Here is a 22,554-nt window from a genome sequence, read left to right on the forward strand (position 1 = left end):
AAGGGCTTTGAGTTGAACACACTTTCAGAACCACCTTATAAAAACTCACTAGTACATTTGGCTGTTCATTCATTCATCAAATATGTATTATATGTACACTGTGCTAGGTCCGCTACTGGGTGCTCGGGTTCCAGAAGAGAACAAAGCAGGAAGAAAAATTCCTGTCCTATAGAACTTATATTTTAATGGGAGGAGGCCAAAAATAAGTAAGTTATACCGTATAGGTGATATGTGCCATGGAGAATATTAAGGCAGGGAACATAGGAAATTCAGGAGTGGGGGTTTATTTGCAAGTTTAGATAGGTTGGTCAGGGAAGGTTTAAGAAAGTAACATTTGATGAAATGCTTTCGGAGGTAATAACTGGCCTAATTTTTTCTCTAAATAATATGAACAATAATAATTGTGTTGTAGAAGACTAAAGAGAAATAGTATTTCGTATATACCTTAATTAATATAGCTTAGTGCCAAGATATAAGAAATGGCCAATAAATGGTAGTTTTGTTTCCCAGTTATATGCCTCTAGCACTTTTAGACTGAACTTCCAAAGGTCTTTTTCTTTTAATATGCTTTTAAAAACATTTAATTAATTGAAATTTGGTTGTGGCAAAAAGTTGCTTTTCTTGTTTCCCTGTTTTCTTCACTAGAAGAAAAAGAGTCACCCAAAATTACATTATTCTCTTCTTTTTTTTTTTTTTTTTTTTTTTGAGATTCAGTGATTCAGTCTCGCTCTGTTGCCTAGGTTGGAGTGCAATGGCACCATCTCGGCTCACTGCAACCTCCGCCTGCTGGGTTCAAGCAATTTTTCAGCCTCAGCCTCCCGAGTAGCTGGGATTACAGGCACCTGCTATCACGCCCAGCTAATTTTTGTATTTTTGTAAAGACGGGATTTCACCTTGTTGGCCAGGCTGGTCTTGAACTCCTGACCTCAGGTGATCCGCCCACCTTGGCCTCCCAAAGTGCTGGGATTACAGGCGTGAGCCACCGTGCCCGGCCGCATTATTCTCTTTACGTATTTAGTTGTTAGCTACATATTTATGTATTTGCAGTCAGTATTACCTGCCTTTTGTTTAGTGTGTGTGTGTGTGTGTGTGTGTGTGTGCGCGCGCGCGCGCATGTATGTGGGATAGAAGGGGTGTGTAGTTTTTCCATGTAACATTATCATATATTTTTACATTTTTCTACGTTAATTTCTTACTTATTAAATGTCCATAGAATTTTTCTTCATTTTGATCAGCTATGATTTTTAAAAATCCTCTTATAATTGGAAATTTGCGTCCTAATTCAGTAGCTACTAATTTCTCCCTACAATATATAAGGGAGATTTTAACTAACCAGTCAAAACCGATTTTACAGACAAGAGGATAGTAAAGGTTGCCTAGGTTGAATGACTTGACCGAAATTATACAACTAGATCATAGCAGAGGCAGGTGGTAGCTTAGAATGCATTCATCCATTCCTGAACTATTTACTGAGCTCCTACTCTGTGCCAGACACTGTGCTACCATCTGTGGGAAGCAAAATGGAAAGGGTCCTTGCTCTCATAGAGCTTAGATTCTGCGATTGTATAGGGGCATGGTAATAGACAAGTAAAAAATAACTTGATAAGATAGTTGTAGATTGTAAGAAGTGCTGCAAATGAATAAACAGTAAATTGAGCATAACTGGGGTGGGGGACACTTCAGAGGGAGCCAGGGAAAGCCTTTCTGAGCCCAGGCTTGAAGGATAAGAATGTGGAAAAGAGAAGCAGCAAGTACAGTGGCTCTGCTGTGGGAAAGGGCTTGTGTGTTGGGGGAATAGAAGTTGTTTCTTTCAGAGTGTCTGGGTCAAACTAAGTGAAGAGCAGAATATTGTTAAATGATGCTGCAGAGGAAGACTAGGTGTTAAAGGGCCCCTTGGGAGCCACTGTGATATGTATGGACTTTATCCTCAGTCACAGGTAACACCAGTGGGAGGTTTTGAGCAGGGTTTTGTCTATGATCTTAGGTCCAGGCTGGAGGTTTTTCCTCTGTCTCATCAGCTTTCTGATTAGAACAATTATGTTTCTATGGGTCTAGCTGCTTTTAGATGGTTGCCATCCCATGGCCATCACTCTTGAAGGGATGATTCCAGAAGCATCTACATGACTGGGCGGGGTGGTTTATGCATATAATCCCAGCACTTTGGGAGGCTGAGGCAGAGGATCTCGAGGCCAGGAGTTTGAGACCAACCTGGTCAACAGAGGGAGACCCTGTCTCTATATTTTTAAAAAAAGAAGCATCTTCATATATTATGGGCTAATGTTAATAGATAAGATTTTCTTCTGAGGTAGGTGGAGTTGTGGAGAAAGAGGGAGGTGAAAGCTATTTACAGTGACTTAAGCATTAGCTGCACTGCTTCTAGGAAGCTGTTAATCATGACACAAGAACAGTTTTCCCGCATCTAGGGAGACTTGCACTTTTAGGGATGGCTTTCTTGGCAAGTGTTTACTATTAAGATAATAACAGCTCTATGAGGGAGAAGCATTAAGCTCATTCTAGTGACCTTTCTGCTGGCCATCAATTGTAATATGAAGTGAGCATCAGTAATATCGCTTGTGTGGGAAACAAAAACACCAGGTCCTGCTCTCTGGTTTTGACAAAAAAAGTTGACAAATTTAACTTTATTTCTCTCTTGAGTTATATTTCCTGACCTGGAGAACATTAAAATATGGTTTCTCCCCAACCACTTTATAATGAACAAATATAATTTTTAAGGCAAGAGGGATGTACTGGGCTTTCCAAGAGTTATGGTGGATGTTACTGTTCAGTTACCAGGGCCGGTTCTTTGCTTTAAATATATTTTCTCCTATATTTCTAATAGTAACCTTATTGGTCAGCAAGCATTTTCCCCTTCCCATTTTTAATATGGGAAACTTGACTGTCAGGCAGTAAAAGTAAATTGCCCAAGATCATATGCAGCTAGTAAGGGGGTGGAATTAGGAAACAAATCATATGCTTGCTTAGGCAGCACATATACTAAAATTGGAATGATACAGAGATTAGCATGGCCCCTGTGCAAGGATGACGCACAAATTCGTGAAGTGTTCCAGAACTATTAAAAAATAAATTTATAAAAAAATTTTCAAAAAAGGAAACAAATCAAGGGTTATCTGGCTTCTAAGCTGGCATCATTCTTTTTTCTTCTTTTAAATTTTAAATAGATAATATATGGGCAAGACGTACAATTTAAAAGGTATAGAAATATGTACTGCAAAAGGTGATTTTTTTCTCCCACCCCAGTCCTCTCATCCACAGAAGCAATGCTGTTATCAGTTCTCCAGGATGTAATTTTATACTTTGCTGCTCTCTTTTTAAGTGGAGAACGTAAGACACAGAATCAAATAACTATAGTAGCAGTGGTTACCTAGTAGTGCAGGTGGCATATCAGAAACATCCCAGGAGCTCTTTCAAAATACACATGCCCTGTTTTGTTCCTCCTTGCTGATACTCTGATTCTGTAGGTTTGGGGTAAGGTTCCTAAAGGGAATTTTGATTCCTTTCTTGCCTCACTCCGTAGAGAATTATTATTCAGATACTGCTAAAATGCCTAATGTGTGTTCTAGAAGGATATTACTTCCTCAAGACAGATGGAAGCTTATTGGTAGGATGGCATTTGAACTATGCTCTGAAGAATAGATTTGGAGTACAAATGAGTACAATGGGTATTTCAGGTGAAGGCACTACCGTGAACATAGGTAGGGGGAGAAAGCCAAATGCAAAGTGTTAGTTCAAGTATCAAAAATTCAGATATATCACATGGGCCAGGCAGGAAACATAAATTATATATAAAATGCTAAATAGCAACTGATGTTTGACCTTAGTATTAGGTGACTGAAGAGAACTTTCAATTTACTACTGTATAACAGAGTACCTGTTACACATTTTTTGAACATTCTGAATTAAAATTTTGGAGGGGACCGGGAGCGGTGGCTCACGCCTGTAATCCTAGCACTTTGGGAGGCCGAGGTGGGTGGATCACCTGAGGTCAGGGGTTCAAGACCAGCCTGACCAACATGATGAAACCCCATCTCTACTAAAAATACAAAAATTAGCTGGGCATGGTGGTGTGCACCTGTAATCCCAGCTGCTGGGGAGGTTAAGGCAGAATCACTTGAACTTGACAGGCGGTGGTTGCAGTGAGCCGAGATCGCACCATTGCACTCCCGCCTGGGCAACAAGAGCGAAACTCTGTCTCAAAAAATATAAAATAAAATAAAATTTTGGAAGGGTGAGAAAAACAAAACATAAATGAAGCTCTAATGGATCGTTTGTTTTGTATAACCTCTGAGGGGGCACACCTAAGTTCGGAGGCCATCATGCTTGTGGTTTTCCATTACTTTAAAACTTGTAGCCTCATTCTTGAAAAGTTTGTTTTTTATTTATGGTAAATTTAGTAACTCCCTAATCTTTAAACATAAATGGCTATTTAATACTTTGTGTGTGAGAGTTACAAGAACCAATCATGGGTTCTTTCTGTTCTGTTTTCTGTCAAGTTCAACATTTTTGGAAAATCCTTCCCCATCCCACCGACACCTTTTTGAAGCATACCTTTCCAGAAGTTTCTTCTCCCCCTGAAGCAATATCATTTATATTCCCGCTTAAGCATTTTGATATCCTGTTATAGTATCCTAAAAGTAAAGCTTTGAGCAAAAGGAATGGGCTGTAGTTTGTTTCATGATAGGTCTCGCCACTTGTGGGCAGAAGGCCTCAAGCCTTCTTGATCTCATTTGATCTTCATTTTTGCACTGACAGTAAAGCACACAATGGCCATGCTTCCCTTGAATACATTTCCTTGTATCCTTTACTTATATCAGGATCATGAAAATCCTGTTGCTCATTAACTTTGTCAGTTTAAATAGAACCCCTCACAAAACGTTGAATAAGCATCAAAAAGCATGACATGCGGTGTGTGTGAAGGCACCAGTCGTCTGTTTCACTCACTCTGTCATTTCAGCACTTGCTGCTAAGAACTCTGCATACTGAAAGGGGTGGACAACTAAAAGAGACAGATGAAATGCTTGATTTGTTTAGTTGCTAAATGCAGCTGGGACAGGTAATTAAACAGTCCTGCTCCCGCAGAGAAGCTTGCAGCAATGTAACATGAAATCTTAGAAACCCAGCTGTACTCAGATTTAGATTCAGAACTAATATTAGGTAGGCATCCTTCAGATTGACAGATTTCATAAGCATTGTTTCTGGTTTATTTGTTCACCCTAATTGAAGATAGAGCATGTTTTGTTCACCATTTAAGTTTTCTAGGGAGCATGTGGTGTTTACAGATACCTGGGGGAATAGCCTAGAAGGCACAGCCCATGTCTGGAGGGCACGAGATGACATGGGTGAGCCTCTGCGAATCCTGACTCCAGCTGTTCCATGGAGGTGGGAATGGGGGTCATCATATGAATAGATGCGGATTGGGAGAGGATTGGAACCAGTTCTTGCCTTAACCCTTTTATCTTGTATGAGGGCATGTCATTATGTAAGTAGCAAAGATCTCTGTGTGTACAGTGGGATCTTTGTTTTAATTTGGACCCTTATTTCTATGCAGAAGTTGTTACCACCATGTACTCATTTGCTCAAACCAGAAATTTAGCAATTATCCTTTTTGCTCACCTCCCACAGCCATCCCCCAGTAGGCTTTTTTGTAGGGCTGACTCACTGTTATCCCTCAAGTCTCACCTTAAGTGTCCCCTTCATTGTGGAGCCTGCTCTGACCAACTTCCCAAAATGACCTCCACTAGTGGGGCTCTGATATCATAACCCTGATTCCTTCCTTGCAGCACTTAACACAATTAGTAACTGCTTGTTTGTTTTTCACACAACGGTCACACATTCCTTGGATGTGTTTCCTTATATTCTTTGCCTATCATATCAGGACTGTGATAATCCTGCTGCTTGTTGATTGGTTGTTTATTTATGTATTTGCTTTGTCTACTTACCTTTTTGCCTATTTATTTGTCTGCCATGCTAGATGTTAGTTCTAGGAGGGCAAAGACTTCATCCTATATTTCCAGCTCATAGCCCAATGCCTTGCACACAGTTTATACCCCGTACATATATGCTGAATATCATGTCCAAACTATATTATAGATCAGTGGTATGCTGGTAAGTTTCTAGCTCTCAAAAGCAGCGTGGGGCGGCAGGCGGCGGTGGGGGGGCGCGGGTGGGAAGGCAGCTCCAATTTGTAGCATGTACCAATATCTGTGGTGTAAATACTCCCACCATGGCAGATATAAAGCTACCAAAATGGCGTCACTGATCAGTGAGCTGAGAGGCAATGCACAGTAGCGCTTCAATGCTGCAGGCTTCTCTGTAGGAGTAAGACTGTTTAATCACTTGTCCCACCTGCATTTAGCAACTAACCAAACCAAGCACTTCATGTGTCTCTTTCAGTTGTCCACCCCTCAGTGTTCTTTGAGTTCTGATAGAGAGTGTTCCTCTCTGTACAGATATAGTAGATATAAATCACTTCATGAACATAGATATTAGTAAAAGAGTGAAAAATAATTAGGAAGTGATGCATTTTGAGTACTTGTTACATTTATTTTTATTTTTATTTTACTGTATTTAATTAATTTATTTATTTATTTTTTGAGATGGAGTCTCGCTCTGTCGCCCAGGCTGGAGTGCAGTGGCACAATCTCGGCTCACTGCAACCTCTGCCTCCTGGATTCGAGGAATTATCCTGCCTCAGCCTCCCAAGTAGCTGGGATTACAGGTGTGCCCAACCATGCTCAGCTAATTTTTATATTTTTAGTAGAGACAGGGTTTCAGTTGGCCAGGCTGGTCTTGAACTTCTGACCTCAGGCAATCCACCCACATCGGCCTCCCAAAGTGTTGGGATTACAGGCGTGAGCCACCGTGCCTGGCCTATTTATTTATTTATTTATTTAGAGACGGAGTTTCAGTCTTGTTGCCCAGGCTAGAGTGCAATGGCTCAGTCTCAGCTCACTGCAACCTCTGCCTCCTGGGCTCAAGCGATTCTCCTGCCTCAGCCTCCCGAATAGCTGGGATTACAGGCATGTGCCACCACACTCAGCTAATTTTGTATTTTTAGTAGAGATGGGGTTTCTCCATGTTGGTCAGGCTGGTCTTGAACTCACTACCTCAGGTGATCTGCCCGCCTTGGCCTCCCAAAGTGTTGGGATTAAAGGTGTGAGCTACCACACCCGGCCTACATTTATTTTTATTAATTGTAACTTTATATGGTTTAATTTTAAATTGTTTAACAACTGGCTTGCAAAATCAGTGAAAATTTAGCAGTCTGCTCTCAAGCCAGTATAAGACCCAGCACCGCACTGGGGATGAGCTATGGTGGATCCACTGGCAACTCTTTGCCCTGTAGCATCTGGCTCATAAACAAGGAAGGAAGACAGTTGGCAGAGATGAGTGGTAAACTGTTAATACAGAAGCATTTCTCTGAGAGCTTTTCCTCACCTCCTTTAGATGTCCTGCTACATGACACTAATATCTCCTTAGCTATCCATACCCATGATTTGGTACAATGACAGGAGAATGAAGTGGCAGCAGTGAGGAAGAAAGAAAGCACAAGAGAGGGAACGGGAGGAAAAACTATCTTTTTTTTTTTTTTTGAGGCTGAGTCTCGCTCTGTCGCCCAGGCTGGAGTGCAGTGGTGCAACCTCAGCTCACTGCAAGCTCCACCTCCCGGGTTTACTTATGCCATTCTCCTGCCTCAGCCTCCCGTGCAGCTGGGACTACAGGCGCCTGCCACCATGCCCGGCTAATTTTTTTGTATTTTTAGTAGAGACAGGGTTTCACCGTGTTAGCCAGGATGGTCTCGATCACCTGACCTTGTGATCCTCCCGCTCGGCCTCCCAAAGTGTTGGGATTACAGGCGTGAGCTATCATGCCCGGCCGGAAAAACTATCTTAGCCTTTCATTTAGAGAACTAGAACATCTTCTTGCCAGAGATGGTCGCAGATCCTGAAGTGCTTAGTGGTCAGGAGCACTTAATTTTCAGGAAATTATCCCAGGGCTAGAAGTCCCTCATGTGCGTGTTGAGGTCTTAGTCAGCCAGACTCCTTGCCACTTCACATTTGTCTGCATGTCTATAGTGAGACAGAAGTGAGCCTCAGATGTTGTCTGAAGGAAGGCCTGTGGCACTCTGGGGACTGAAAGCAGAAGACTGAGGGAGGTGGCAAGCTCAGGGATAGAAGATCACAGAGAAGAGGAAGAGAGCCACATGGTAGATGCACTGCCACCCTGTGTAGGGTTTTCTCCTTATAAAATATAGTTCGAGGTAGGTCTGGTGTTTTTTAGGTATCAGACTATTGATACAGGAAATGCAAATCATCATGAGTACCATTTACCGTATTTGAGATTATAAGGCCACAATGAGAAATCTTTAGTCTGTCTTTGAAAGTCAGGGGAATGGAGTTTGGTGAATGCCCTTGACTGTTACAACCAACAAAGATGGGTGCAACTGAGACACTCATCTCTTTACTCGACATTGGCTAGAGTTTCTCAGCCCTTGACTCGTATCTCAGCCCATATGAATCCTCACAGACCTAGAATGGATAAACGATTGCCTTTCCCAAATCGGAAATGTTTTCACTTAAGTTGGCTAGATGGAAAAGGACATCTTAAATGAGGCACTATTTTTCATGGATTAGTTCAAATAACATTTAATGAGCCCATGTTTAGTGCCAGGTACTGTTCCAGGGCTGAAGTTATGGAGATTAAAGGTACAGACTCTGCATTCAGGTAAGGAGTGGAAGAGGGACAGTCAAGAGACTAGGAATTCTCAACATAGCGAAACCTCGTCTCTACTAAAAATACAAAAAAATTAGCCAGGCATGGTGGCGCACGCCTGTAGTCCCAGCTACTTGGGAACCTGAGGCATGAGAATTGCTTGAACCCGGGAGGTGAAGGTTACAGTGAGCTGAGATTGCACCACTATGCTTCTGCACTCCAGCCTAGGCAACAGAGCGAGACTGTGTCAGAAAAAAAAAAAAAAAAAGAAAAGAAAAGAAATTCTAAGCCCAGTATGTTGTGAGATGTGATGGAGATGTACAGAGGGCAGTCTTGAACCCCAGATGGAGGCTCATGAACTCAGGGCTTCCTGCCATGGTATTTAGTGTGAGTAGAAGTTAATTAGATAATAAAGAAAAGTTAGGATGTTCTAGGGGATGGGGAGTCCCATAGAAAAGTGAAACACAGCATATATACTGGGGACTACGGAAGTGTGGACTGCCTGGAGCTTAGAATTGAAGGTAAGACTGTATACATCTGTCTCCTCATTTCCAGGGAATCCGGAAGGAAAAGAGGAGTGAGAACAAGATGACCAATGACTTCATAATTTTACCTGAAGCTAATTTTCCTATTATTGTCCTCTTTTAGGATTTTGGTGATCTAATTCAAGAGGTGGGGTTTTTCACTTCAAAATAGCACTGGATGGAGGATGAATAGCCGGATGTGTCATTGTCATGTTTGATCATTGCTTTGTGTTTTGCTACAGCTGCTGCCTATTCACACTCTGAGGCTTGGTGTGGAAGTGGATTCCTTTGATGGGCACCATTATATTTCTTCAATTGTTTCTGGTGGTCCTGTTGATACATTGGGTCTCCTACAGCCAGAAGATGAGCTGCTTGAGGTAAAATTTATGGGGAAAGAAAGACACAGGCAAGAATCTGTAAGTTTTAGGAAAACGTGTTCTCATCACAAATCCCCTGAGTTATAGTGTCACCAATGCCAATGTAATATGAGCCTCTTAGATTGAAAAAACCGAACAGCTTACTGGATGATAAAGGAAGTAGCTATGCTTTCAGTTTATTTTCCCCATCTTTGAGGCTCCTGAGATGTTCTTTATTTAAATGAATGACTAGGAAAGAAGTTTGATAGCATATTAGTATTCTTTTTTAGCAAAATTTGAATCCCTGAGCCTTGTTGCAACATATAACCACATTTATTTGCAGGTTTTATTGATTATTTCTAACAAGGACTACAGCTGAATGACCTCAGGCATACTGGTTTTCACGTTTTCTCCTTGGGACTTCTCCCTCAAAATGGCAGCCTCTATTGGGCTTGCCCAGGCTCTCCAGCCTCTCTTTAATCAAAGCAGTTCTAGAGCACCTCTGCTTTGAAAGGACTTTCTTGAGAGGAAAGGTCTTGGGGAATGGTCACACAAAAAGACTGCATAGAAGAGGGTTCTCCCAAGTGTTAGGATACACAAGAAGCCCTAGGTTGGATTCAATAGAATCAACCTAGTAGCTTTAGCCAAGATCAGAATCCCATGGGCCTTGATTTTAGAGATTTTTTTTTTCTAAAATTTATGTTTGCTCATAGTGAAATGACAGGGATACCAAGTAGGTCTCATGTTGTGTGTAATTGTAATTTATTAGTAGTGTCCAGCCACCTAAAGGAGTATAATGGGAAGGATTCTGGTTGAATTTCAATTTCAGAGGGAAAAGTGCTATGACTAGTTATCAAATTCTGTCATAAGCATGGGAGGGTAGGGTATTGGAGTCCTGTTTTAAGATGTAGTAAGTTGCTTATTTTTAGAGGTGTTCAAGGGAATGGTATTAGGTTTCTTATTGCAGATTAATGCCCTACATTTTATTAGAATAATTATGCTTTCTTTTTGACCCAGCTTCTTATTGGCTGGGCACGGCCATATCTTTGTGGATATCATACATGATCATTTGTAGATTGGAAACTATTGCTGTAGTATGTAGTTATTACGTATTGAGAAATGAGATATATTTGTTTGGGAGAAATGGAGGTATGAGTATAACCAATTTAATTCACTTTTTTTTTTTTTTCGAGACGGGGTCTTGCTATGTTGCCCAAGCTGGTCTCAAACCCCTGAACTCAAACAATCCACCCACCTCAGTCTCCCAAAGTGCTGGGATTACATGTGTGAGCCACTGCACCCGGTCCACTTTTTTTTTTTTTGGTGGCAAAATATATATAACATGAAATTTACCGTTTTAACCTTTTTTCCTTTTTTTTTTTTTAGAGTCAGAGTCTCACCCTGTTGCCTGGGCTGGAGTGCAGTGGTGTGGTCATAGCTTACTGCAGCGTCAAACTCCTGGGCTCAAGCAATCTTCCCACCTCAACCTCCCGAGTAGCTAGGACCATAGCTGTGCGCCACCATGCCCTGCTAGTTTTAGTTGTTTTGCAGAGACAGGGTCTTGCTATTTTGCCCATGCTGGTCTTGAACTCCTGGCCTCAAGCAATTCTTCTACCTCGGCCTCCCAAAGTACTGGAATTACAGTCATTAGCCACCATGCCTGGCCCATTTTAACCATTTTTAAGTGTGAAATTTGGTGGTATTAAGTATAAATCACTACTAGTATGTGGTAGGCACTAAAGAAATGTTGGCTGGATCACAGTATAGAAAGTATAGGTGATCCCAGCCATCAGCTGAATTCTGTATGATTTAGCCAAGACTAGGATCCCATGGGCCTACCACCTTGTAAAAGAATGTGCTATAATAAGGTAGTGTGAAGATTTTTTGAATTCTTAAATATAGATAATCTGGTGAAAGAGCTTGGGATAAGGAAGGAAGCACAGATTTGGAGTCAGAAAAGCCACTTTTGGTCTGAATTGCCACAGGTTAGCATGTGTCCCTTGGCATGTCACTTGACTTTGTTGAGAATCAGTTCCTTCATCAATAAATGCCCACTTCACTATGTGCTTGTAAGGATCTAATGAAATACCATCCATGTAAATTATAAAGCATTATCTCATTTTGGGGTATTGGCAATATTATCACTGTGAAGAAGGCATTTTAACAGGCTATATGGGCTGGGATAATGGTTGGATGTGGTAAAATAGTGGGGCCACACTTGTGCAATGTTCTGTACTCTGGAAGTGTGTATGTGTGTGTGCATTTTCCAGTCAAAAACTTGGGATAATTGAGATTTGACAGCACTTAGGAGGGTCACAAGTTGAAGGACCTTGAGAAGTATTGTGAATTCTAAAATAAAAATTAGCTGCTTCTGAATAACCAAAAATACAAAATTTAAAAGTCTCAGTACAGTTAGCCAAATAAACTCCTGAACTCAAAGTGTCGTGTGTGTGTGTGTGTGTGTTTAATGTACTCCTTGGAACTTAAAACCAGAAACACAAATATGCTTTGGGGTTAGAACACTGTGCCAAGTCTCAGCCCAGAACAGCTATTTACAGCAGCTATAAATCCCCTTAGATAGGAGTTGGTAATGGGAAATGAGACCAATCCCTTTAGCAACAGAGCAGTGAGGAGGACTACCAGGCACTGGTATAATAATTGGAGACAATTCAAATGAATAAATAATGAGATAAATAAATATTTAAAGGCACTCCAAGATAAAAACCTGAAAAGTGACTTTCTAATTTGTTGAAGTGAAACACAAACTCATACTCATGTATGGGAAGAATTCCTGCTCTGATTCTATCTCCGTGCCTTTTTTTAGTGTAAGTTACTACCCATTTAGTTGATTTTAGAACTTTGTGCACCTGTGACACCAGTTGAAATCATGGATACGGTGTGACCAGTGATGGGTACCTCCCTGCCTCTTCTTGTGTAAAGGTTGACTTGCAGTTATCCCAAGGAAAAACCTTTCATCAACTGCTGAGCTTGCTGTCGCCTAGACCTCTTCATTTGTCATGAAGACTTACCAGTAGAGCTAGCTTCCTAAAGTGCACGTGGGTCTCTTTACCATGTGGTGGTTTCTTTGTAAATAATTAAGAGGCAGGGAGATATGTCTGACTTGATGGCAAAGTGCTTGATATGTTACAGGCTTGAGAGTGGTTCCCAGGAATAGTGGACCTGAGACTCAGCCCGCTGCTGAAGGTTTCCAGCAACCCAGTGTCCTCTTCCTCTCTGGTGCAGTGAAAGATTTGTAGAAGGGCTTCTCCGAGTAAAGTCAGGCTGGCCAGTTATCTGAACATTAGCACGGCACCTATTAGAAATTAATGCCAGACTAGAAATATCTTTAAAACAAATAATGCTTGCTTCTAAACCCTCCCAGGAGGGTAGGAGTCAGATGCGAAAAGATTATTTGTTGCCTGGATTCTGTTCATGCCTCAGCTTTTTGGGAGTAGCAGACAGATCAGCTCTTAGAGACCTATAGTTAGAACTGACAGGACCCTTTGAGCTCAAGTTATATATATGAAAAATTAGAATTATGTAGCCAAATCATCTTTGGAGCCAAGTATTATTATTATGTGCCAAAAGTAATATGAAATTTAGATAATTTTTTGGTGACAAGGATTAATCATTAATAAAGAATACTTTTTTCTTTTAAACATATGAGACACTTGCATAAAATTATTTTAAAAATTATTTTAGTATTTTCTATATATGCTTGATTGCTGTATCAGCAGAGCATGTAACTGATGCAAAAGTATATTTCTTTTCAATAGAAGTTATTTTTCTAGGATGGTATTAAGAGTGTGTGGGATGTGAAAGAATATTGTGGACTGACGTTAAATTTTGACAGCCAAGTATTCTAGACTTATTAGCTATACTTTAAGCAGTAAATTAAACATTTTTTTAACATCCTTAAATTTCTGTAGTGATATTCTTATAAAATGAAAATGCAAAGGGAAACAGTCTTAAAGGGCTGTAAATGATACTTAGTGTGTTTAAGGGGAGCTGAGTAGAGGTAGGTAAGAGAGTATGACATTGGAGTATTGAAAGGAGAAACCACAGTGCTGCAAAAAATTTGGTAGATCCCTTACCCAGTAAGGGCGTATGCTGCATGCATTTTGTACTTTATCCATCAATACATGCAAAGATTTAGCCTTAGATTTTAAAAATTTTAAGGATTTCTAACATTTTTATTTGCATATTATTTAATCATAAATAATATGATGAAAGCGAGGCCCCTTGTTTACAGGGAAAATAAAATGATGTCCTATTTTCATTTTGGTAGATGGATATAAATAAGAGATTTTTGTTTTTTCATTTGGGGCTGGCTCAGTTCTGACTTATCCCCTTGTCTTCCTAGGTCAATGGCATGCAGCTTTATGGAAAATCTCGCCGAGAAGCAGTCTCCTTTCTTAAAGAAGTGCCACCCCCTTTTACTTTGGTTTGCTGTCGGAGGTTGTTTGATGATGAAGCTTCTGTAGATGAACCAAGGCGCACTGAAACCTCTCTTCCTGAGACAGAGGTACTAAATGAATATAGTGCATTTCCCATAGGCATGCCCATTCATCAAAGATGCCCCGAAGACTGTGCTGCAATAAGAAGGGAGGGGAAACCATTCCACTCTGCTCTTTTTTTGCTTGACTAAGGCAACAATGCATAGCTTTTCAAATTGTTACTCTTCATTTAACATCAAAAAATTCTTTCCTTCCCTTTCCTTGACATGTTGGCAACATTGATGCACATGGATTTTGATTTTAGAGAATCTTTGTTTTTAGTAATTGCCTGGATTCATTACTTTTGGCTTCTAGTTCAACGCAGTTTGTCTTATATAAGTTTAAGGTGTTTGCGAGTGTTGCATATCTAATGTACTCCCCTTTTTAAGAGCCTTAAAATTATGAAACTCAGCCGGGCGCGGTGGCTCACACCTGTAATCCCAGCACTTTGGGAGGCCGAGGTGGGTGGAACACCTAAGGTCGGGAGTTGGAGACCAGCCTGACCATCATGGAGAAACCCTGTCTCAAAGTAGAAAAAATTAGCCAGGCATGGTGGCGCATGCCTGTAATCCCAGCAACTTGGGAGGCTGAGGCAGGAAAATCACTTGAAGCCGGGAGGCGGAGGTTACGGTGAGCTGAGATCACGCCATTGCACTCCAGCTTGGGCAACAAGAGCGAAACTCCATCTCAAAAAAAAAAAAAAAGAAACTCTATGATAAATTTCAAAGTGAGTCTGGAAATTGCCATAAAACCCTTCAGAAGATCAGAGAATGAAATAACACTTTATATGCTCTTGGTACTCCTTATTTATTTATTTTTTTAAAGAGCACTGTTACTATGAAAAGAGTTTTTTTTTTTTTTTGAAACAGGATCTCCCCAGGCTGGAGCACAGTGTTTTGAACATGGCTCACTGTAGCCTCGACCTTCTGGGCTCAAGCAATCCTCCCGCCTCAGCCTCCCAAGTAGCTGGGACCACAGGCACATGCCACCACACCCAGCTAACTAAAAAATTTTTTTCGTACAGTCAGGGTCTTGCCGTATTTCCCAGGGTGGTCTCAAACTCCTGGACTCAAGCAATCCTCCCACCTCAACCCCCCAAAATGCTGGGTTTATAGGTGTGAGCGACTGTACCCAGCTGGAAGAGTTTTGAGCACATACTTTGCCATCTTATGCTATTTGTAACCTCATCTTTTATGCTACTTTCCCCCCTTTTCAATCTCTTTTAGGTTGTAATTCCACTAACACCAGTTCAGATTCATGGGGCCTTTTACTTAAGTTCTGGATTTCAGTATACATGAAACTAATCCTGCCCCTACTACCTCATAATTGTGAATCTTGGGCAAATGACTTTCTGTTCATATTTTTCCTTTGAAAAATGGTGATACTTATCATACTTACCCATCTCATGAGTTTGTGCAAGAAGGAAATGTGGTAATGTGAGCAACTTCTTAACACAATGCCTTGTACGTGGGAAGTGCTCAGTAACAGTCGGCTATGGCTGTTTGAGTCTCTGCCAGTCCATCCGTTTTTGTTTTCTTATGTCCTGAAGTACATGAGAGTCTAACACTGTCTTATAGATACTTTAGTATGTATTAATCTTGTTTATCCAAGAAGACTGTCAGCTCCTTGTGGGCAAAGGCCATATCTTAAAATTATTTTCTATTTCATAGTGTTTTTAGTCTATATTAGGCATATAAGAGGGGCTTGGTAAATTTTTGATTATTGGTTGACTCTTTTTTAAAAAAATGTTTAACTTGTGTAAAAACTATTTCAAGGAGGGTACTCAAATGCCACACTTTTGTGACTTTTGCTGTCCTTACCAAAATGAAATATGGGTGGTGGCTTCCCTCTAAAGGCTGATAACAATGCCTTTAATCTAATCTTGCAAGGTGTGTAAATCACAAACCCCACTTGCTGACTCTCTGCCCCCGTCTGTCATGCTTTACCACAATGGTGAACAACAGCTTTGAATCATGCTAAATGTCAACCTTCCTGCCCATTAGTTGATTGCTTTCCATTCTGTAAATACAGGAGTTATGCAGAATTGATTGTATCAAAGTGATATATTTCAGGTTGCAGTATAATATCTTATGTACCTTGAATGCCTTGAAATTTCTATAAACACAGGTTTTGTAATTGTGTGTGGTTTCTTAAAGTCTTGGCTCTTTTTCCATCTGTCTCTTTTTTCATTTCTCCTAATACCATCTTATATTCTTAAACCCTATCTGGTTAGGCAGCTTAGCCAAAATTCTAATACTCATTAATCAGTGAGGATATTAAATGCCCCAGTAAAACATCAATCATGTTGTATTAGCCATTGGAACTTTACTTTTTGTTGGAAGATATAAGTGTTTTCTTTTTAAGTATATCACTTCCACACATCAGACTGAAATATGCAGAGGTTATTGATCCATAATGTTTCCACTCATTTCAAGTTTTCAGCTTCATATTGTTCCCATGTTAGGTTCAATCCACTGTGGATCGGTTATTGACCACCCGTGTCTTGCAGTGACAGTTTAAGATCTGGACCAATCCTAATTTAAAAAATGTTTTTCTACCCCATAGTCTCTTGCCCAAAGCCTCCTAGATCTGATAAACAACTTCAGAAAGTTTCAGGATACGGTATCACTGTACAAAAATCAGTAACATTTCTTTACACCAGTAACATCCAAGCTGAGAACCAAATTAGGAACTCAATCCCATTCACATAGCCACAAAAAGAACAAAATAACTGGAATACAGCTAACTAGGGAAGTGAAAGATGTCTACAATGAGAATTATAAAATACTGCTGATAGAAATCAGAGATGACACAAATAGAAAAACATTCCATGCTCATGGATAGGAAGAATCAATAGTGTTAAAGTGGCCATACTGCCCAAAGCAATTTATAGATTCAGTGCTATTTCTGTGACATTTTTCACCGAATTAGAAAAAAACTATTCTAAAATTTTTCTAAATTTTAAGGAAATTTTTAGAAAAATTTTTTGGAACCAAAAAAGAGCCCAAATAGCCAAAGCAGTCCTAACCAAAAAGAACAAAGCCAGAGGTATCACACTACCCAACTTCAAACTATGTAGTACAAGGCTATAGTAATCAAAACAGCATAGTATTGGTACAAAAATAGACACATAGACCAATGGAACAGGTTAAAGAACCTAGAAATAAAGGTGCACATCTACAAGCATCTGTTGTTTAACAAAGTCAACAATAACAAGCAATGGGGAATGGACTTCTTATTTGGAAAATGTTGCTGGGAAAACTGGCTACCCATATGCCGAAGATTGAAACTGGACCCCTTCCTTTCACCATATACAAAAATCAGCTCAACATGGATTAAAGACTTAAATGTAGGCCGGGCATGGTGACTCACGCCTGTAATCCCAACAGTTTGGGAGGCCAAGGGGACAGATCACGAGGTCAGGAGATTGAGACCTTCCTGACTAACACAGTGAAACCCCATCTCTACTAAAAATACAAAAAATTAGCTGGGTGTGGTGGCGGGTACCTGTAGTCCCAGCTACTTGGGGGGGCTGAGGCAGGAGAATGGCATGAACCCGAGAGGTGGAGGTTGCAGTGAGCTGAGATGGCGCCACTGCACTCCAGCCTGAGTGACAGAGCGAGACTCTGTCTCAAAAAAAAAAAAAAAAAAGTAAAACCTAAAACTATAAAAACCCTGGAAGAAAACCTAGGAACTACCATTGTGGATATTGGCCTTGGCAAAGATTTCATGATGAAGATTTCAAGAGCAATTGCAACAAAAACAAAAATTGACAAGTGGGACTTAATTAAACCAAAGAACTTTTGCACAGCAAAAGAAACTATCAACAGAGTAAACAGGCAACCTACAGACTGAGAGAAAATATTTGCAAACTATGCATCTGACAAAGATCTAATATCCAAGAATCTATAAAGAACTTAAAACAGCAAGCAAAAACAAACAGCCACCATTAAAAAATGGGCAAAGGACACGTCGCACACTTCTCAAAAGAAGACATATACGTGGCCAACCACCATATGAAAAAATGCTTAATAGCACTGATCATTAGAGAAATGCAAATCAAAACTACAATGAGATACCATCTCATACCAGTCACAATGGCCATTATTAAAAAGTTAAAAAATAACAGATGCTGGGGAGGTTGTGGAGAAAAGGAAACAATTAGCACTGCTGGTGGGAGTGTAAATTAGTTCAGCCACTGTGGAAAGCATTTTGGAGATTTCTCAGAGAACTTAAAACAGAACTACCATTCAACCCAGCAGTCCCATTACTGCGTATATACCCAGAGGAATATAAATTGTTTTGCCATAAAGATGCATGTGTATGTTCATCACAGTACTATTCCCAATAGCAAAGACATGGAACAAACCTAATGCCCATCAACAGTGGACTAGGTAAAGAAAATGTGGTACATAGACACCATGGAATACTATCCAGCCATAAAAAAGAATGAAATCATGTCCTTTGCAGCAACCTGAATGGAGCCAGAGGCCATTATCCTAAGCAAATTAACACAGAAACAGAAAACCAAATACCACATGTTCTCACTCATAAGTGGGAGCTAAACATTGAGTACACATGGACACAAAGAAGAGAACAATATACGCTGGGGCCTACTTGGGGGTAGAGGGTAGAAGGAGGGTGGGGATGAGAAAACTACCTGTCAGGCACTATGCTTATTATGTGGGTGACAAAATCTGTACATTAGACTCCTGTGACACACAATTTACCCATATAACAAACCTGCACACATACCCCCTGAACCTAAAATAAATGTTGGAGAGAATAAATACATAAATAAATAAAATAAATTTTTTAAACTAGCTATTTTCCTAATTATAGAGGGTTTTTCCCTTCCCTTTTTTGTTTACATTAAATTGCTTCTCTTATACTGGTGTTTCAAAATTATGTGTGTAGAGATGATGCATTTTTATTTACTGAGGTTACCCAAAGATTTAGAAAGTCTACTTTTAAAAATTATTTACTTGGTACCTTTATTGAGAAGGAGTTTCAAGAGAAACACACTCAAAGATAGGTAATTTTTAATGTATTGAACAACTATTTATTGTGTGCCTACTATGAGCCAGGCATTATATAGTTGAGCTGATAACCATGGTAAACTCTGTGGTAGCCCTCACAGAGTTTCCATTCTAGCTTAGGAGCCAGGTATTTTGTTCATTGCTTGGGCTGTAAAAGATAATTTTTGAGCTTCAGATAGAAGTTTAGAGTATTTTGGGGGAATGTCAATCAGATGAAAACAATAGTACAATGCTATAATTAGTATAAAAACAGAAGGTTTTTTGAAGCAGCCATTCTTCTGCATAGTAGATTCATTGACCCTCTCATTTAACTTCCTGGAATTCCACATAGCAATGACTCTTCTTCCTAAAAAGACAGGGAGTCTAGAATAGAGGGACTTTCAGGAGTAAAATCAAGAAAAGTAACAAAGGACCTGTATACTGGGCAGTTGTGCTAACCTATTTCTTCTAAGATCAGATTTTCATTATTTCAACTCAGTGATTTTTATTCATTTTAGACTTAAATGATGTCCAAAGACTTGGATTTTTTTTTTCTCACCTTATTTTCTAGTAAAGCTTTTCTTGAAAACTTCCTGGAGCCAGCAGAAGTGGTTTCCCTGTTCTGCTCCAGCCTATCTCTGTGTTGATATTTCTTTCTTTGTCTCTCTCTGTAATTATGAAGCCAGGTATTGCTACTTACGTATCTTATAAGCTTCTACTTTGTATGATGTTTTCATTTACTTAAATTGCATATTTTTCCTTTTATGCTTCTAATGGGATGACAGAACTCATTGAAGTATAAGAGGTCAGTGTTAATACTTTGAATGAAATAAATTCTTCACATTAATAAAAAAAACTGTATGAACAGTCTGAATTTTTAAGCACTTGAATTTTTATAAGATCTTATCCTGGAGTGTGTGTGCCCCAGAGCATGCCCCTTTTACAAAGATTAAAAAGAAAAACTACGCATGCCAAAGAGAATTCTCAGTTTGAGAAGAAGCTGTGAGATTCTTGATGTGTGCATTCTTTTCAGAATTGAAAGCATAGTGTTTTGAAGCATTTATCTTCTTTGGTATTTCAGGTTGACCACAATATGGATGTCAATACTGAAGAAGATGATGATGGGGAATTAGCACTGTGGTCCCCTGAAGTCAAGATTGTTGAACTAGTAAAAGATTGTAAAGGTTTGGGATTCAGCATTTTGGATTACCAGGTATAAGAACCTGTGTAGAGGTGTTTTCTTTGGAGTGATTGGTTTGTATTAAAGTTATGGGAAGTAGCAATTGTTTAAGACCCCTATTGACTTAAGCAAAACTGAATCCCAAAGATGGGATATTATACTACTTTCAATTGTTACCTTTAAAATTAGTAGCTCCCTTAGTGAATAAAATGATGGATTATATAGGAACTGGACAATAAGGGAAGCAATAGTTATATATCCATGGGTGCTTTTAGAGCAGGATCTTGATGAACTTGTTTATATGGAGGACTTTTGTTCCTCAGCTTTATTCAGATATCTTTCACATACCATAAAATTCACCCATTTTAAGCATACAGTTCAGTCGTTTTTAGTATATTCACAGAGTTGTGCAACCATCACCACACTCTAATTTTAGAACATCTTCAACACCCAAAAAAGAAATCCCATACACATTAGCATTCGTTCCCAATTCATACTCTCCTCTCCCTCCCCTTCACATGAAGGTTTATAGTTTAGCTTACCTATTAATTTCAATGTGCTTAAATAAATAGAAGTGTTCTTGGTCAAGTTATATATTGCATTTATGTTAATACATAATATCTATGTATTTATTTATAGCTACTCCAATTATAACTAGGGTAAAGTTACCAATACATTTGGGGGAGGGAGATGTAAAAGGTCACAACAAGACATCTATGTTGTACGGTTCTACCAGTTACTGTCATATATTCAGACTGCTGATTATTTGGGGGAATTAAAATTGTTGCCAAGAAATCTCTTAACTTTTAAGATGCATATTTTACTACTTTGGTGCTGCCTTAACACATTGTGGTTTAGTAAAGCAAAATGTACTCTGTTAAAGCCCATAAAATGCCAAGTGATATTTAAAAATCAATTCTTTTTTAATATAATAAGGCAATCAGGAATAAATTAAAATAGTTTGAGCATTGTATAAGAATATTACGTTCTATTTTATTTATTTTTTTTGAGACAGAGTCTCGTTCTGTCTCCCAGGCTGGAGTGCAGTAGCATGCAACCTCTATCTCCCTGGTTCAAGTGATTCTACTGCCTTAGTGTCTTGAGTAGCTGAGACTACAGGCGCCTACCACTACACCTGGCTACATTTTGTATTTTTAGTAGAGATGGGTTTTCACCATGTTGGCCAGGCTGGTCTCGAACTCCTGACCTCAAGTGATCAGCCTGCCTTGGCCTTCCAAAGTGCTGGGATTACAGGCATGAGCCACTGTGCTCAGTCTAAATTCTGTATTTTGGCAGTGTGATTTAAATTTACTGAAAAAGAAATCTATTTCATTTTTGCTGGCATAGTTCTGTGCCAGATAGCCCTCTTCCTTTTTAGAATTTCTCTTTGGAATATTACTGAATGATAAGTTCTTGATTCCAAATATTTTGGAAAATATATTTATCAAGAAATCTGAACACAGTTAAGCATTTGCAAGTTTATATATTGGTTAATATTAGAGTATATAAAACAAATGGCAGGGACTCTTTTTTTTCCTTCCCCATTGTAGCTATATTATCTAGAACCACTAGGTGGTTAATAAATATTTGCAGAATGATTTAATAAAGTTTAGGTTAGCCAAAAATAGGCCTGACCTTTTTGTTTGTTTGTTTGTTTGTTTTCTGTTTTGAGACAGAGTCTCACTCTGTCGCCCAGGCTGGAGTGCAGTGGTGCGATCTTGGCTCACTGCAATCTCTGCCTCCTGGGTTCAAGTGATTCTTGTGCCTCAGCCTCTTGAGTAGCTGGGACTACAGGCACGCACCACCATGCCCTCCTAACTTTTCTATTTTTCGTAGAGATGGGGTTTCACCATTTTGGCCAGGCTAGTCTCGAACCCCTGACCTCAAGTGATTCCCCTGCCTCAGCCTCCTAATGTGCTGGGATTGCAGGCATGAGCTACCACGCCCAGCCTAGGTTAGCCAAAATTAACTGGAATTGAATGAACAAATTTAATGGGAATTTGAGGCATGAGCCACCATGCCCAGCCTAGGTTAGCCAAAATTAACTGGAATTGAATGAACAGATTTAATGGGAATTTGTTAATAATCGATTTTGATAATTGGGATTTAATTTAGAAGATACCTTTCAGATGTGGTCTTAGATATTCAGGTACATTTGCATTTCTATTATTGTAGGAATCTATATATATTTGCATTCTTATAATACATATTTATATCATAATGGTTGCTCTGATGCTCTTAACTGACATT

General features: G+C 39.5%; 1 protein-coding gene and 1 pseudogene across 23 annotated transcripts in view; both read left to right on the plus strand.

The window, feature by feature from the left end:
* PATJ (PATJ crumbs cell polarity complex component) overlaps positions 1 to 22,554 on the plus strand; it is a 421,436-nt gene that overhangs the window by 70,969 nt on the left and 327,913 nt on the right. For all 23 annotated transcript variants that reach the window (XR_007061928.1, XM_011540462.4, XM_011540467.4 and 20 more), the window contains 3 exons: positions 9,497 to 9,631; positions 13,974 to 14,135; positions 20,206 to 20,337. Coding sequence is in view for 22 of the 23 variants with exons in the window: in XM_011540462.4 (XP_011538764.1) it covers positions 9,497 to 9,631; positions 13,974 to 14,135; positions 20,206 to 20,337 (429 nt within the window). In the remaining variant the exon portion in view is untranslated. The remainder of the gene's footprint in view (positions 1 to 9,496; positions 9,632 to 13,973; positions 14,136 to 20,205; positions 20,338 to 22,554) is intronic.
* RNU6-414P (RNA, U6 small nuclear 414, pseudogene) lies at positions 2,971 to 3,074 on the plus strand (annotated as a pseudogene).

The sequence above is a fragment of the Homo sapiens genome, chromosome 1, assembly GCF_000001405.40.
Source record: "Homo sapiens chromosome 1, GRCh38.p14 Primary Assembly".
Classification (NCBI taxonomy): Eukaryota; Metazoa; Chordata; class Mammalia; order Primates; family Hominidae; genus Homo; species Homo sapiens.